Source organism: Homo sapiens, chromosome 6, assembly GCF_000001405.40.
Source record: "Homo sapiens chromosome 6, GRCh38.p14 Primary Assembly".
Classification (NCBI taxonomy): Eukaryota; Metazoa; Chordata; class Mammalia; order Primates; family Hominidae; genus Homo; species Homo sapiens.
The window spans coordinates 39,701,432-39,718,350 of NC_000006.12; the positions used below are offsets into that span (position 1 = coordinate 39,701,432).

Here is a 16,919-nt window from a genome sequence, read left to right on the forward strand (position 1 = left end):
TGCGTGGATGCTGCTCTGTGCCCGAGCCTGCCTGCGCACAAACTGCTGCTGGAGCATAACAACTTGCGTGTGCTGCTGCTCCACAGATCTCCCCTGTTCAGGTTTATGCTTTGTTGTCTCACAGGACTTCACTTACAAAACATACGTTCAAAGATAAAATTGTTAAGAATTTCAAGACAGCAACCGCTGAGCATTAAAACAAATGGACTGCACGAGGCCCAGGCCTAGGAAGCCAGAGTTCCTTCTAGGCCATCACAAGGAGCTGGCTTTTTCTCTGAGTGAAATATGGAGCCACTGAAGGGTTCTGAGCAGAGAAGTAACATCATATCCTTCACCTGCAGTCACTAGTGAAGAATATTGGTTTTGCATTTCACACTAGAGACTAGGCTCAATAAAATCCTCTGATTCAAGCATTAAACTTCATTTACACAACTATTATTTTGCTTTTGGACATTCAATATGAACTCAAAAGGAATTTCTCAATCTTTACTCAGGTCAACAAATTTGGTATACACAAAATAGATCAAGTCTACTTATAAAATGTGGCCCTGATTTAATTAGATGCTTCTGATATAATGAATAAAAACCAACAAGAAGGAAGGTAATTGTAAGAATATGAGGGCATGTGGAAATGGGAATTTCCTCCAGACTTCCAGATCTCTTAGGACCCTTCTCCTTGTTTACCTTTGTCTAGTATAGCCTCTGCTGATTCCTAACTGTCATCTCCTTGTCCATAGTGATCCTTCCAGACTCTCATTCTCTCTACCTGAATGCCTTTCAGCTTCTGTTCCTGGTAATAGCCTGATTTGTCCAGATTTTCCCAGTTCACACCGCCAAGAGTGATAGTCTGATGGCCCCAGCTCATTTCTATTTGGGCAATGCTTCTAGCCCCTAGATTGACCTCCTATACCATAAGCAGGCAGCCTTTGTTTTGCTGCCCTTGACTCAGATTCCTTCGGCCATGGCTGCAGACGACAGTGTCACAGGATCACAACATAGTTCCACTGGAAACTGGGTAGAACATTTTTCCTTATCAAAAGCTGTGAGGACTGTAAGTATGGCAATGACATAATTGGATGCTTGCCCAATATGTCTCTCACACAACTTAATATCTTTCATTTCAGTGTATTGCTGTGCCTGAAATTGGACTAATTTTGGTAAACAAAAATCTTTTTCTCCAGGCTGGTCTTGAATTCCTGGGCTCAAACGATCCTCCCACCTCAGCCTCCCGAAGTGGTGGAATTGTAGGCATGAGCCACCAAGGCAGTCAGGATCTTTCTGTTAATAACACAAATTCCTTTAAGAAAGTTAGACTTATTTGCAGTGCTTGATATACAGCTGACACTCAGTAAATATTAGCAGAATGAATGTCAAATGAAGTTTCATATATCTAATTTAATTATTTTCCTCTGAGAACGGCTACACTGAATGAAGAAATTTTATAAACAAAAGGAAGAAATGTCATTTGCATGCAAAAATTTGACAGAGCATGGGAGTTGGATGCAGTAGGTAAAGTACTTGGGCATCTGGAGCACAGGAGAAAAAACTCAGGAGGTGAGCAGTAAAAGGGAAAGTTGCCTTTCATTTCCCAACTCCACCCCACCCCCATTTCCACCCCCCGGCCACCAAGACAAAATCCACCAACCCCCCACCCCCACTCCCGGCCACCAAGACAAAACAAACATCTCAATTTTGCCTATTTGTCATGGCCACAAGGAAAGAGTTAACACTGTTGACTGCTACTGAAAGGTAAAATGGGATGAAGACTGAACAAAGCCCACTGATTCAGTGACATGAACATCATTAGTGAATTTAGCAAGGATGATTTCAATGAAATTGAATGAAACACATAAATGCTGGGTGTGATAAAGCAATTTAAGAAACAAAAGACTATGAAAGGAAGATCTATTCTAGTTTCAGCTCCACAACCTAATTACTGGGTAACCCCGCAGAAACCAATTAAATGCTCAGGGTCCCGTTTTTCATCTAAAATGGGAATAATAATATCTATCAACCCATAGGGTCATTATAAAAATTAGGTGAGATAATATACGTGAAACTGCTCTTATATTGGCAAAGCTTTATATAAAATAATATATATTCTTAGTGTTATCAATTAATAAGTAAATTTGTTCCTATTATTTAGCAAGAATTACACTAAAAATTCTGACCAGAAACACATGGCCTAGTATAAAAGTAAGGCTCAAATTCACTGACAATGATAGAAACTCTGCTAAAAGTGCTCTGCTCCAAGTAAAGGAACTTTTAAATGAAGATATTTAGATCTGCAAGTGATAAAGCACGAGATAAATTTACTGCTGTATATTCTCCAACCATTCTAACAACATATTTTCAGTATGATTTTGCTTTTGCCAGTCAATTATAAAGTCAAATAACTATAGTAAAAATCTTGCCAGTTGTAATCAATCACTACACATTTGTATAGGAAGGATTTTCCAGAACACCTTGCTTCCTACTTGTGTTCTTTCTATATCTCTCTTTTGGAGGCTATCAAGGTGAGAAATAATAACTAGAAATATCTTTGGTTTATTTGTAAGTGTATCCTCAAGTCCTGAATTGAAGATCTGATATAAAATTGCAAACTTTTTGGTGCCTCGGGAGAAACCAAATCTAAAAAGAGTTAAGGGGGAAAAAAATCATACAGAAAAACATTCATAACTTGGTAAAATTCTGAATTGGGATGAAAATCCTTTTCTATAAAAATGTCAGTGGGGAGCCAAAAATGGATGATAGCTAATACTCATTGAGCATGCACTATGTACTTACTGAGCAATCACATATACTGGGGCATGTGATTTTCACGTACAGCTCATTGGATTGTCATGGCAAATGAGGTAGATATTACAGTATCATTTTCCCCACTTAAAGATAAAAAGCTGGTTCAGGCCAGGCGCGTTGGCTCATGCCTGTAATCCCAGCACTTTGGGAGGCCAAAGCAGGTGGATCACCTGAGGTCAGGAGTTCAAGACTAGCTTGGCCAACATGGTAAAACCCTGTCTCTACTAAAAATACAAAATTAGCAGGGTGGGGTGGCACATGCCTGTAATCCCAGCTACTTGGGAGACTGAGGCAGGAGAACTGCTTGAAGCTGGGTGGCAGAGGTTGCAGTGAGCCAAGATCGTGCCACCGCACTCCAGCCTGGGTGACAGAGAGAAACTCCGTCTTTAAAAAAAAAAAAGCAAAGCTAGAACAGAGAAAGATGAAATAACTTGCCCAAGGACATAGAGCTAATAAGTATTAAAGTTGGGATCTGAACTGCACTTATATGGCTCCAAAGTCCCTGCTCTTAGTCAATGTGTTATATGGTCTCCCCCAATTATATCTTTAGAGAAAATGTTCAGCTTTCTGAAAATAATCTGTTAAGCACCTAACTTAGTCTAAATAGTTTCAGATTTCTCTTAACTTGTAACGTTCCTGTGAATGTTAACTATAGTGCTTTAAATCAAGAGTGGGTCCCTTCTGAGCATGGGGCCCTGTGTTATGACATAGGTCTCATGTATATGAAGCCGGTTCTGGCTTTAGGATAAGGTGCTTTAATTTATTTTAGAAATAAGTGGGAGGTAAATTATAAACAAACAAATACCAATTTCGGAATTGTAAAGTCGTTTAGAGCACATCTTGGATCTCTGAGGAAGATACTAACAACAAATACCACTGGTATCATCTGTCCCTATCTGCATCACCCCACAGCCTAGCTGTAGGCCTAGGTGAGTGAATCTCAAACCTTAGTGTGCATCAGAATCACCTGGAGGGCTTGTTAAACTACAGATAGTTCTGATTCAATAGGTCTGGGTGAGGCCTGAGAATGTGCATTTCTAACAAGTGCCCAGGTAACATTGATGCTGCTGGGTTACGGACCACACTTTGAGAACCACTGGCCTAGACAAAAGAGCAGGTGTCTATATAGCGTGATTTTAGTCATTGAAAAGATCTCTGTCCAAAAAGTACTTCAGGAAGGAAACAGAAATAAAACTCACTTTATAAGAAATAAAGCCCATCACTGTGCATTTAAGCAATAAAGGGAAGGCTGACAGGTGCTAAAGGATCATCCTCTATCTGCCAATTCTCTTCCTCAACAAATACTCAGAGTATCTAATAGACACCTGACACTATTCTAGGAGCCAGGAACACTACAGTGAACAAAGGTAAAGAGGAGACCTTGCCTCCATGAAGTTTAATTCACACACAGGTGAGGCTCAAAGTGCCATGATGTGAACACCCCAGAAGCAGCCTTCAACCAATAATGGGCAGGAGTGGTCAAGTACCCTGGCTTCTTTGCCCCTTGGGTGGGACAACTCTGAGACATGTTCCTAACAGTTCCCCAGTGGGTACCAGTAGAAATAAGTCCCAGTTGCTTACAGTGGTAACCTGCTCCTTAAAGGACCCTACCTTCCTTTCCTTCGCTTTCTCACTTCCCTACTGCACTCCTGGTGCTTCCTGAACTCACCTCCCAAACAAATTACTTTCCCTGGAATCCTAGCCTCAGGATCTGCTTCTGGTGGCACCAGCTTAAGAGATGTCTCTTCATGCTGCAGAATCAGTGCATCTCCGATCCACTGGTTCGTCTCTTTTATTATCTTAGGAAACCCCCAACTAACTTTTTAATCCAAGTAACGCTTTTTATTTTACCGCTGACCCAGTAATTTTCACCCCTTGCATATACAATATTCTGTCAAGGAATCCTACTTCTTACAATCAAATAGCTTCATGCAACTCTTATGCTTTTTTTTCTGTAGGTATTTTATCAAAAATTATGAATAACTTGTAGTTATTATTGCAAAAATGATAGTATGCAATTTCTTGATCAATTATTCTTAAGAAGAGAAACCGAGATTTAGGCTCACTTTTTACCTACAGTAATAAAATCTGTGTTTGAAATGTGCATCTTTAATACATTCTATACTGGTTACATCAACTGCTGTTGTTTTATTCACATTCAACAGCTGTAGGTAGAATGGGAATATTATCCCCTTCCTTGTTAAGTCCTTGATGGAGCTTGTCAAGGTCATCATCTTGTATAATTACATGGCTTTAAGCTGATATGTTAGTGTCCCTGTTTTTAATCATAAGACCATGTTCTCAGTTGAAAATGTAATTTTAAAATTGTCACACTTAAAAGTTTAGATTTAAGTATAATTGTAAAGTCACAAAAGCCAGAAATGTGATGTCATCAGGAAATTCAGCATAGCAGCAAGTAAAGCCAAGTGCAGGTACATGTTTATAAACAACGCATCTGGCAAAGTGCAACTGTGGCCAGAAGTTGAACAGATTTAGGGAACAGGCAATGAGTTTTTGTACAATTCAGTGGTGAATAACGTTTCCTGTAAACTTGGAAAAAAAACAAAATGTCACTGGTGTTTTTGTGAATTTCAGATGGGATTAGCTTTATTGAATCCCCTGGGGGAGAAGTTCCAGTGCAATAACTGAGATTGCCTAATTTACAGAATAGAAGAATATCACAGAACAAATGTCACTAAAATTTTTATAACTGAGGATTTTCTTACTGCTTTATTTTGAAATAATGATAAATTTACAGGAAGTCATAAAGAGAGTATAGAATAGTTCTCTGGACCCCATTTGCCCCAGTGGTTACATATTGCATAACTGTAGTACATTTTCAAAACCAGGAAATTGACATTGGTAGAATGTATGTGTATAGTTCTATGCCGTTTTCTCACATGTGTAGAATTAAGCAATCACCACTGCCATCAAAATACAGAACTATTCTATCACTATAGAAATCTACTGGTGTTAACATTTTACCAGTTTGAATGAAGTGTAGAAACCTTACTTCCCTTAGGGCCCCCTTCTCTTTAAAACACATAGGGGTGGAGTCACGGGTTTTTCCATGGTATCTGGACGGAGTAAGGCAACTAGTATCTACAAGTTTTCTGTCTTGCTAGGCTGCCAGTCCCCTGGCCCTCTTGCTAGAGACAGTAGACTCTTCTTGAGGATTTTGTCTGAGCCCACTGGTGTTTCTGGGTGTCTGGTTTCTCCAGCATCCAATCTGGGCAGGGTGGTTAAGTGTCCCCGCTCTGTGCAGATATATGAGGGGAAAAATCCAAGGGGATTCACCATTCTGTCACTTCTCAGGTCCTGAGGTCTCTAGCTAGGCTATCTTCTCTTCAACTTTCAGAGTCATGTTTCTTTGTATATGACGTCCAGAGTCTTTAGCTGTACTTAGTAAGGGGAATAGAGAGAAGTGTGTCTACTCTATCTTGGTCTGGAACCAGAGGTCACTAAGCATGTTTTTTGAGTGGCAAAGAAATTAAAGATTTCTAATTTTTTCATCCCTTACATTGAATAGGGCACTGACGCTTGTAAAGCACATTGTTTCTTTTCATCTTTAAAACAACCTTGTAAACTTGGTGTTATTAGCATCCCCTTTCTCAGAAGGGATAACTGATTCAGAAGTGATATGTCTGATTCAGAGTCACATAGGGAGTTAGTCACAGGGCTAGGGCCAGAATTGGATTATTTGACTTGATGCCAAATATTTTGAGCCAGAAAAGGTAAAACCATGAGTACACAGAAGTGAATAACTAAGATTTTTTTAATCCTCTTTTGTGAGCCTTTTTCTCCCTATTCTGTCCTCCTTGTCTTGAAAGAGCAGGATCTCTTCTCTGGTTGGATTAGCAGAACTGGGTGTGCTAGGCAACCCACGGCATTATCAGCAAAGCCTGTTTCCTAAAGAGCAACAGGCAAAAGTCCTGCTGGGCAATGACCTTGGCACAACTGAGAGTGTGGTACTGCCCCCTGCCATGAGAAAATCCCCTGCATCAAGCCTTGGCCTCCCACCCAGCAAGAGCTCATGTGCAAAAGTTGTCAAGCACATCCTTCTCCAAACCTGAGAGGGTAGCGTCCCTTTACAGTAAGAAGAGAGTGAAGGAAAAGAGAAATCTTCTTACTATAAATTGAAAGGCTGCTCCTGATAATGTTCATCACTGGTGAAATCAAAGGTTAACCAGTGGTGGCTCATAATGACTAATAGCTTTCCAAAAGCCAACCTCATTGGCCTTATTGTAGTGTAGGTGCCTTAGCTGTTCAGCACCAGCTACTGGGACTGTGTCATAGCATAGCCAGTCCTCCTGCCAGTGCACATTCTATTCATTTTGGTCAAACCATCATGCTCTTACAAAACATTGAATTTCCAAATTTTTGCAAAATTACTCACTGCACATAAAGTAAATTTCCTACACCCCAAGCTTTTAGGTAAAACATAGATTGGCTCTATTAGAAAACTGGAATTCTGCAAACTTGCAGATGTGTGCTAAGACCTCACAAATGTCTAGACTTCATAGTTTTCCTCCCTAAGTCTTTGAATGAAATGGGCACTCAAGGATAATGTACTATTTTTGCTTGAAGCTTCAGGTATTCTCTGATAGCCTACCACATATTCCAGAGATTGATGCACTTCAGTTTGAGAAGCACAACACTAGATAAAAAAAAAAAAACAAATAAAACAAGACGCTCTTTTGTATACTGCAATACCATAGACATTTGTAGACTTCTTAAATCTTACCTTTATAAAAAAATTCATCCAGAAATTAATGAGCAAAATTCAGATGACAAAAGGCAGTTTTGACAATGTTACTAATCAACCCAAATAGATTTCAAAGACACCTGAGATTAGAAGAGGCATCATGATGAAGCACTTCCTAGTGGAAATGTACTAAATAATAAATAACCACAAAGATTATTTTACTTTATTTCCAATAATACAAAGTTCAAGCTTTACTATTTCTCCCCATACATGCAGTCCTATACAGCTTTGGTCCCTGCCATTTTTGGCACCAGGGACTGGTTTTGTGGAAGACAATTTTTCCACCAAATAATTGTGTGTTGTCGGAGGGATGGTTTTGGGATGAAACTGTTCCGCCCCAGATCATCAGGCATTAGTTAGATTCTCATAAGGAGTGTGTAACCTAGATTGCTCGCATGCACAGTTCACAATAGGGTTTGTGCTCCTATGAGGATCTAATGCCGCAGCTGATCTGACAGGAGGTGGAGCTCAGGCAGTAATGCTCCCTCCACCAGCACTCACCTCCTACTGTGTGGCCCAGTTCCTAACAGGCCACAGACTGGTACCGGTGCATGGCCTGGGGCTTTGGGGACCCCTGCTACATAGTCATGCACATAATATCACTGGTTTGGACGAAGTAGAAAAGATGTCTAAATTGGTGAGATTCCTGAATTACAGAATTTTGGACAGAAATGTGATTAGTTTTATTTAGCCTTAATTGCATACAGTAACCAGAATTAAGTTACCATGTGTTAACCCAGTAGAATAACTTTAAAGGGCTAGTTTAAAGTGGTCAGATTTTATGTTGGGAATGTGTTCTTGAAGGCTAATCTTCACTAGGAATAGCGGACATTTCTGTTTAATATCTGAAGTGGTATAGTGTCTATTCAAAGGCCTGCCAAATTATGTAATTCTTAAAAATTTGATTTTCAATGTATGGGGATACATTACTTTAAATATTGTGCATAAATGACACTTTATTTTATCAGTATTTTATGTTTTACCATTTCAAAGTCATACAATTTGCATAAAATATAAACATCCTGTATACAGCATATTTAAAGTCAATGAAAAAAGTGATTCCCTCCCCAGGCTCTTAAATAAGTCAATTTGCTTAACAACACTCTCCTACAGAGATGAATGAGAAGAAAATGTGAATCTGCCCCCAACTGTCTATTCACTGGTGCAGTACATGTTTCTGCAGAGGAGAAGCTTGGATTAGGGACAGTAAGATACTCCTAGCACCCTGGAGGAAAGAGGGCCTCACGCCTAGCAAATAAACACACCATGCCCTCAGCACATGCCATCCCTTCCCCATAGACACATGGGTAGGCCACAGTGAACAGAAACAGCATGCTCAAACAGACAAACGCATTCTCAAATGACAGGGATAAGCCCACCTCTAAGAATCACCAGTATCTGAGGGAAATCTGCACCAGGAAAGCGAGGCACCAAACTCATCAGAAGAACATGCACATAAAGAAAAAGAAGACAGAAAAAAAAAAAAACCCAGTGTTTCAAAAGATCATTATCTTCAGAGGGAAAGGGAGGATACCACATTCACAAGCAAGAATAGACTTTTTCATTTCCTAGAAATGAAAAATAATAGCAAAAATTAAAAAATTTAGAGGGATAAAGAAGAATTCACCACTGAAAAGCAAATTACCATGCTGGAAGTCTGTGCTGACAAATTCTTGCAGAACTCAGAACCACAGGGCAAAGAGAGGAGAACTATGAATGGGAAGTTGTAATATTTGAAGGATAGGACTGCAAGGTCCAGAAATAAAGAATAGATATGTTAGAGGTAAGAAAATTATTTAGGAGGCCGAGGTGGGAGGATCGCCTGAGCCCAGGAGTTTGAGACCAGTCTGAGACCCCATCTCTATAAAAAATTCAAAAAATTAGCCGAGTGTGGTAGCATGCATGTGTAATTTCAACTACTCGGGAGGCCTTGAGGCAGGAGGATCGTTTAAGTCCAGCAGATCAAGGCTGCAGTGAGCTGTGATCATGCCACTGCACTCCAGCCTGGGCAAAAGAGTGAGACTATGTCTCAAAAACTAAAAATTAAAAAATTAAATAATAAATAAATAAATAAAAATGAGATCACTTTAAAAAAAAAAGAAAGAATTTTTTTTAATTACCAAAGAAATGGTCCATGTGATGACCCTTGAATCTGAGTTTTCAGATTGAAATAGCTGACTGAGAGATAAGAATACATGAAAAAAAAATCCTTACCTAGACTCATTAATATCAAATTTCATAAAAACAAAAAAAGAAAAAAATCCTAAAAACACCTGGAAAGTAAAAAAAAAAAAAAAAAAAAGTATGTCTAAAAAGAAATAAGAATCAGATTGGCATGGACATCTTTTCAACAACCCTGTATGCAAAGAGACAATGAAGCAGTATCTTCACAGTTTGGAGAGGAAAGAACTATTAACACAGAGTGCTATACCCAGTCAAATGGCTGGGTATAGCAGCCTCAACCTGCTGGGCTTAAGTGATCCTCCCACCCGAACCTCCTGAGTAGTTGGAACTATAGGCATGCACCACCATGCCCAGCTGATTTTTAAAATTATTTACAGAGACAAAAATCTCACTATGTTGCCCAGGCTGGTCTTGAACTCCTGGGCTCATTTAACTGTGAAGGGAAAGGAAAGACTTCAGAAAGTTCCCCAGTCCTGAATTTTTTCTAAGAGGTTATTAGAGGATGATTACCAAAAGGAATCTAAGAATTAGACATGAATACAAGAAACAGTGATAGACAAAGAAATAGGTATAACTTTGAGATAATTAAAATAAACGTTAATAAAAATTAATAATAATAATTCAGACAGAAATATCAGTTGATCTCCACAGTGGAAGTTGTAGAGGTATAGGAGAGGCAAAGTAAAAGTATCCTAACATTCTTGACTAGAGAAAAGACAGAGAGAGCAAGACAGAGACAGAGACAAAGTTTTTGATATTGAGAAAAATACAAATGTTTAAATATCTGAATTTAAACTAGAGCTGTTGAAGTACAATGTACAACTTGAGAAAGAAAATGGAAGCAGCAACAACAGTCAAACCAACAAAAAGCAAGAAAGGAAAAAAAATTAGGGAGTATAATAAAGAGGAGAAAGAAAATAACATAGGAGGAATAGCTCCAAATTATGGCGATCATAAAAAAGATAAACTGGTTAAAGTAACTAATTAAAGATCAAGAACTGTGGGTTTAGCTAAAAAGGCAAAAGCAGCTATATTTTATTTATCAGGCCCATTCTTAAAAACAAAATGTCACAAGGCAGTTGACTAGGAGAAGGAGAAAGACAAGACAAAGGCTGACAGAAAAAAATAGCAAAACTAATTTCAGGAAAAAAAAAAGAATACAAGGAGAAAAGTAATAAAAAGGATAAAGAGGAATATTTCTTATTGATAAAAGATAAAACCCACCGGGACCAACTTGAGCTGCTTGGATAAAAGTGCTCTTGCCTGTCGTTTTTGAAACCTTGTTATCATGGAGTTTATCACATCAGTGAATAAAACGAAGCCCCTGCCTTCATGGAGCTTTGTTTTAGTGGAGGCAAATAGACACAAAAACTAATATAGAATTAAACTATATAATATGTCAGGGCCAGGTGCGGTGGCTCACACCTCTAATCCTAGCACTTTGGGAGGCCGAGGTGGGTGGATCACGAGGTCAGGAGTTCAAGACCAGCCTGGCCAAGATGGTGAAACCCCATCTCACAAGACAGAAAACCAAACACCGCATGTTCTCACTCATAGGTGGGAATTGAACAATGAAAACACTTGGACACAGGGTGGGGAACATCACACCCCAGAGCCTGTCATGTGGTTGGGGACAGGGGGAGGAATAGCATTAGGAGAAATACCTAATGTAAATGACGAGTTAATGGGTGCAGCAAACCAACATGGCACGTGTATACCTATGTAACAAACCTGCACGTTGCGCACATGTACCCTAGAACTTAAAGTAAAATAATAATTTAAAAAATGTCAGATGGTGATATGTGCTAAAATAAATAAAGTCAAATAGGGAAGGGTAACGGAGGTGCAATTTTAAATAAGGTACTGCAGGAAGGCCTTACTGAGAAAGCCGCTATGAGCAAAGATTTCAAGTTGCTGAGGGAGAAACCATGCAGATTTCTGAGGGAAGAGAATTCCGGGCAGAGGGAACAGCAAGAGGAAATGGTCACCGCACACAATTAAAGCTGCATAAATTAACTGAGAAGGAATGGAGAACCAGGAGAGTGTGACAAGTGAACAAAGTATTTGGAGGAGGATGGAGTGATCAACTGTGTCAAAATGGCAGACATATCACATAGCATGAGGACTGGGAAATGATCATTATTAAATTTAGCAAATAGAAGTCATAGTTGACTTTGACAAAAACAATTTCAGTGAGGCAGTGGAGGCGAAAGCTTGACAAGAACAGGGTTTAGGAGAGGAACTGAAGTAGTGAATATAGTAGGCCATTTCTGTAAAGTAAAGCTGAAGCAAAGGGCAGTGGCTGGAGGAGAAAGTGGGGTCAAGATGAGAGAGTCTGTAGTGGAAGGAAAACCCAGGCATCCATGAAAAAGAAACTTAAGGTTCCCTTCCTGAATGATGTTAGGAAGTTTAAAAATAAAACACACGAAACTAGCTATCTGAAAAATGACACAACCCAAATGATTACTAAAAAGAAGGGAATTTCAGAAATGTTTGACATCTAATCAAGGAGACTTGAATTTCATCTAAAGAGGTGTTATTGGATTGTTGGATTTTGATTATAACTCTGAAATAGTTTAAGCCTACTTGATTGTAAGTTACCTAATGAAGGAGACTGTATTAAAAAGACAAGGGCATGGTTTGCATAGGATTCATAAAACAGGAGTTTGAGAGACAAAATGTGGCACTGTGTTCCCAGCAATGTCCACTAAAAAAGGTGTACTGATGAGCAGACTTGAAAACTGGGATCATTTAGCAGGTATAATTTTCATTATTTAACTGTAAAGATGAATGTGTCTTGGGATTATCATTAGGTCATTAGCATCATCCAGATGATTTCAGATCAGAAAGCAAGCTTATGAGCAGTAGTTTTCCATATGGATTCCTTATAAGAGGACTCTGTGCTTGAGTGTCTAGTCCCTAGGAGACTGTGAATTCCTATTAATAAATTGGCATTCTGATTTATTTGGTACCCTCATGTGAGTTTGGTTCTAGTAGTCAGCAGCCTAGAATTAGCTAGATATATTAAAGCAAAGGGCCAAGCTTTGAAATGACACTGAGGTAGAGCAGGGCCAGCATCATTAGGCAGCCTCCCAGGTGCCACCCATACCTTATCCTTTGTCCATCTAACCATATGTTTGAAGTACCGTACTGAGGAAAGAACACTGAACTTAACAGTCAGAAAATCATCTAGGACTCTGCCACCACTACCCATGCAACCCTGAGTAGTGTCACTTAATTTCTGTGACCCTCAGTTTATATATCTTTACAAATAGGAGTAACAATAGCTAGTCTATTTTGCTGCGTTATTTTGTTTTGTTTTGTTTTGAGACTCAGAATCTAAATCTAAAACAAATGGTTATAGGAACAGAAGGTATTAATGCCATCATCATTACATGTCCTGCAGCCTAAGTATATAATTGATACACTTAAGCACACTACCACAGTTATCTGAGAATTGAAGGCAACATGAAAAACCACGAGCCCACTGAACAAAATATGGGAAATCCTACCTCCCAGCAACTGGTTTGGCAATGTTTTCAAAAACGGTCTCTTGGTTTGCATCCTGATCAAAAATTCTTTGAAATCTGCAATGTGAAAAATAGTAATTATTTAAAAGCTGCACCTCCAAACACTATCAGATTAATAAATCTTGTTTTTCTGAAAGCTCTATTAATTACCCCATATTTACATCACTGGGCTTACCTAACTTAGCACAATGTTTGCCCTGTAGTCTCAACCACACTGTGCTGTTGTACTCCTGTATACAAATGGTGGGTAAACAGTATTGCTTTGACAAGATCTGCACAATAAATCCCTCTGAAAAACTGCAGCAGCTTTGAACCAAATAACAAATTGTGTGCTTTTTAGCTCTCAAGAGGGACAGTGTCTACAATTGGCAAGAAATTCAAAACCAGATAGCTGCATGAAATGGAAATCCAAGAACAGGATGTAAACAGCCAAGGAACTTCTAATATCTGACCTGTGAGAAAAGAATGCAACTGTGAATTGTATGATTATTGAACTTAGTTTTAGTATTTTGAACTAAAGTTTATTTTTCCACTAATTTGGTGCTATATCCTAGCATCAACCATTTAATTCTCAGGATGGTTTTGTTTCATTTTGTTGACCATGAGTCAAAAGTCAAAAAGTAAATTATGATAGACCTGTCCCACAGAGAGAAGGTTTAATCAGATTGGCAATGGCTTAGGGGAAGAGAGTGGAGGTGTGGTGTCAATTTCACTCTTCTTGCAATGCTTCTCTGACTTAGCTTAGTACTGGATTGCAAGCACAGTGGAACACTCGGGGTAGAAGACACAGAATCTATTTTTTTTTTTTTTTTGAGACAGAGTCTCACTCTGTCACCCAGGCTGGAGTGCAGTGGCGCTATCTCGCCTCACTGCAACCTCTGCCTCCTGGGTTCAAGCGATTCTCCTGCCTCAGCCTCCCGAGTAGCTGGGATTACAGGTGCACCATCACTCCTGGCTAATTTTCATATTTTCAGTAGCGACAGAGTTTAGTAGAGACAGCTGACCTACCTCCATTTTAGAGAAGCAAACAATGAACTATACAAAGAGATAATCTAAGGCACTCTGGCTAGTATGTCATTTAGCAGGGAAGATTGTATTTTAGACAGTAATATTTACTGTTTAGTGTGCCCAGATTGCTTCTCAAAACTCTATAGATGTATCACAGCTTCAGATATGAACACCAACATAACACAGAGGTCAACATAACACATAGCTGCTGAACTGCTTTTCAGAGCACTGTGTAGTATGAGGTCTGAGCACATATTCTCAGCTTTTGAGGAGAATGATGATAACGCTGGTTCACTTCTTTTATCAGATGGGTGATGACTGGGTGAATCAATTAGCCATTTTCTACCCCACTTCTTTAAAAAAAGAGTAATTATATCTACTACCATGTAAATAAAAGAGATAGCAGAAGTTTTAAAGAAGGCAGTGAATCACACACAGAATATCTTCTGAAAGGTACCTTGTGTAAAATTAATGATAGCATTTTCATTTCTAATTGATCTATTCATTCCACAAACACATACTGAGGGCCTACCATGTACCAGTCACTTCTAACAAGATTTAAATTAAAAATATCTATAAAGGATATTGAATTCCTTGGGGGAAAATGACATCCTCCACTATTTAAAATAGCAGGTGGTAGAAACACAAGCAATCCAGATCTCCCTTTTTATTGACTTTTCCCCACACATTTTAGAAGAACGATTTTAGCACCAAAGTTTACAATAAACCATTAACTATATATTAAGCATCAAATGTCATCATCCCAAAATATTGCATTTTATACAATATAGTTGCATAGTAATCTGAAAAGGCATTTTGATCAGCTGTCTTCTGAAAACCACTGAAGAGCACAATAGGATCACAATTAGAAGGGATTTTAACAGGTTCAGTCTAATGATTAACAGAGGAAGAAGTCGAGATCCACAGAGATAAAGTAATTACTCAGAGTCTTAGAGCTCATCAATAATATGCCTTGAGACATAACTTAGGTTTCCTGATTCTTAGGAGGTCTTTTCATTTGTTAGGAACTTGAGTAGGCTTTTTCTAAACTCCATTTCAAACTCAGCATATGCTGACTTCTTCCCACCCTAAAGAATGGTGCACTTCCTGTGCTCTTCCTCATCTCAGAAAGCAACAGCTCTATCCCTCTAAATGTTCAGTCCAAAACCATTAGGATCTGCTTGACTCCTCTGTTTCTACTATACTTTATGTCTAATCCATCAGCAAACTCTGTCAGGTGAGACCTTCACAATATATCCAGAATTCAATTATTTCTCAACATTTCCACTGTTACCACCTTGGTCCACGCTACCATAATTTCTTGCCTGGTATCTCTTGCAATAGCCTAACTAGTCTTTTCCCCCTTCCAGCCTGTTTTCCACATGTCAACAAGAGTGATCCTGCTAAAACATAAGTGAGATAATTTCATTCCTCTGCTCAAAGCCCTCCATTGCCTTCTCACGGCTCAAGTCCTCACAATGACTTATAAGGCTCTAAGTGATCTGGCCATTCTGCTGCCTCATGCTTACTCTACTCCTCATGCTTACTCTACTCCTCATGCTTACTCTACTCATGCTTACTCCCCTCTACCTCTTGCTTACTCTACTCCAGCCACATAGATCACTTTTTCTCAAACATGCCGGGCGTTCTCCCCATTAGGGATTTCACTCTTGCTATTCCCTTGGCCTGAAAGTCTCATCCCTTAGATACTTGAATGGCTGGCTTCCTCACCTCCATCAAGTCTTTGCTCAAATGTTCCTTTGCTGTACACCTTCCCTGACCTATTAAATGTTGCAACCATTCCTCTCCTTCACCCCCCTCATCCAGCACTCCTCATTCCCCTTCTTTGTCACACTTTTCTCCATGGCACGTAGCACCTTCTGACGTACATTTTGCTTACTGATCTTCTCCTCTATCTCCTCCCACTAAAATGTAAGCTCCCTAAGAGCAGGAGCTTTGTTGTGTTCCCTGCTGTATTCCTAGCAATTAAAACAGCTCACAGTGGGTAGCCAATAAGTATTTATTGGTTGAATAAATGTTCTTGGGGGAAAACAGCCTTTAAAATGCTTAAATATTTATCTCTGAACATATGTGTAAGTTGAATATTTTATTAATTTTTAATTTTGAATATTAAAACCATTATTTTCAATTCAGAGATTTAAAAATAAGCCAATGGTGCTTTTACAACAATTGCACTTTGTTTGTATCTATATAAAGAATACTTTGGGGCCAGGTGCAGTGGTTCACACCTGTAATCCTAGCACTTTGGGAGGCCGAGGCGGGCAGATCACTCGAGGTCAGGAGTTCTAGACCAGCCTGGCCAATGTGGTGAAACCCTGTCTCTACTAAAAATGGAAACAAAATTAGCCAGGTGTGGTGTTGCATGCCTGTAATCCCAGCTACTCAGGAGGCTGAGGAAGGAGAATTGCTTGAACCCAGGAAGCGGAGGTTGCAGTGAGCCGAGATCGCGCCATTGCACTCCAGCCTGGGCGACAGAGTGAGACTCCATCTCAAAAAAAAAAAAAAAAAAAAAAAAGAATACTTTGGATAGGGTCCATAGATAAAGACATAGTAAATTGTTCTTATCAATCAAATGGAATCATGTTGAATAAAATATTTCAGCAAACTGTTGT

At 39.2% G+C, this 16,919-nt stretch overlaps 1 protein-coding gene across 10 annotated transcripts in view; it reads right to left on the reverse strand.

The window, feature by feature from the left end:
• Positions 1-16,919, reverse strand: part of KIF6 (kinesin family member 6) — a 395,419-nt gene that overhangs the window by 371,442 nt on the left and 7,058 nt on the right. For all 10 annotated transcript variants that reach the window (XR_001743238.2, NM_001289020.3, NM_145027.6 and 7 more), the window contains exon 3: positions 13,261-13,335. Coding sequence is in view for 9 of the 10 variants with exons in the window: in NM_001289020.3 (NP_001275949.1) it covers positions 13,261-13,335 (75 nt within the window). In the remaining variant the exon portion in view is untranslated. The remainder of the gene's footprint in view (positions 1-13,260; positions 13,336-16,919) is intronic.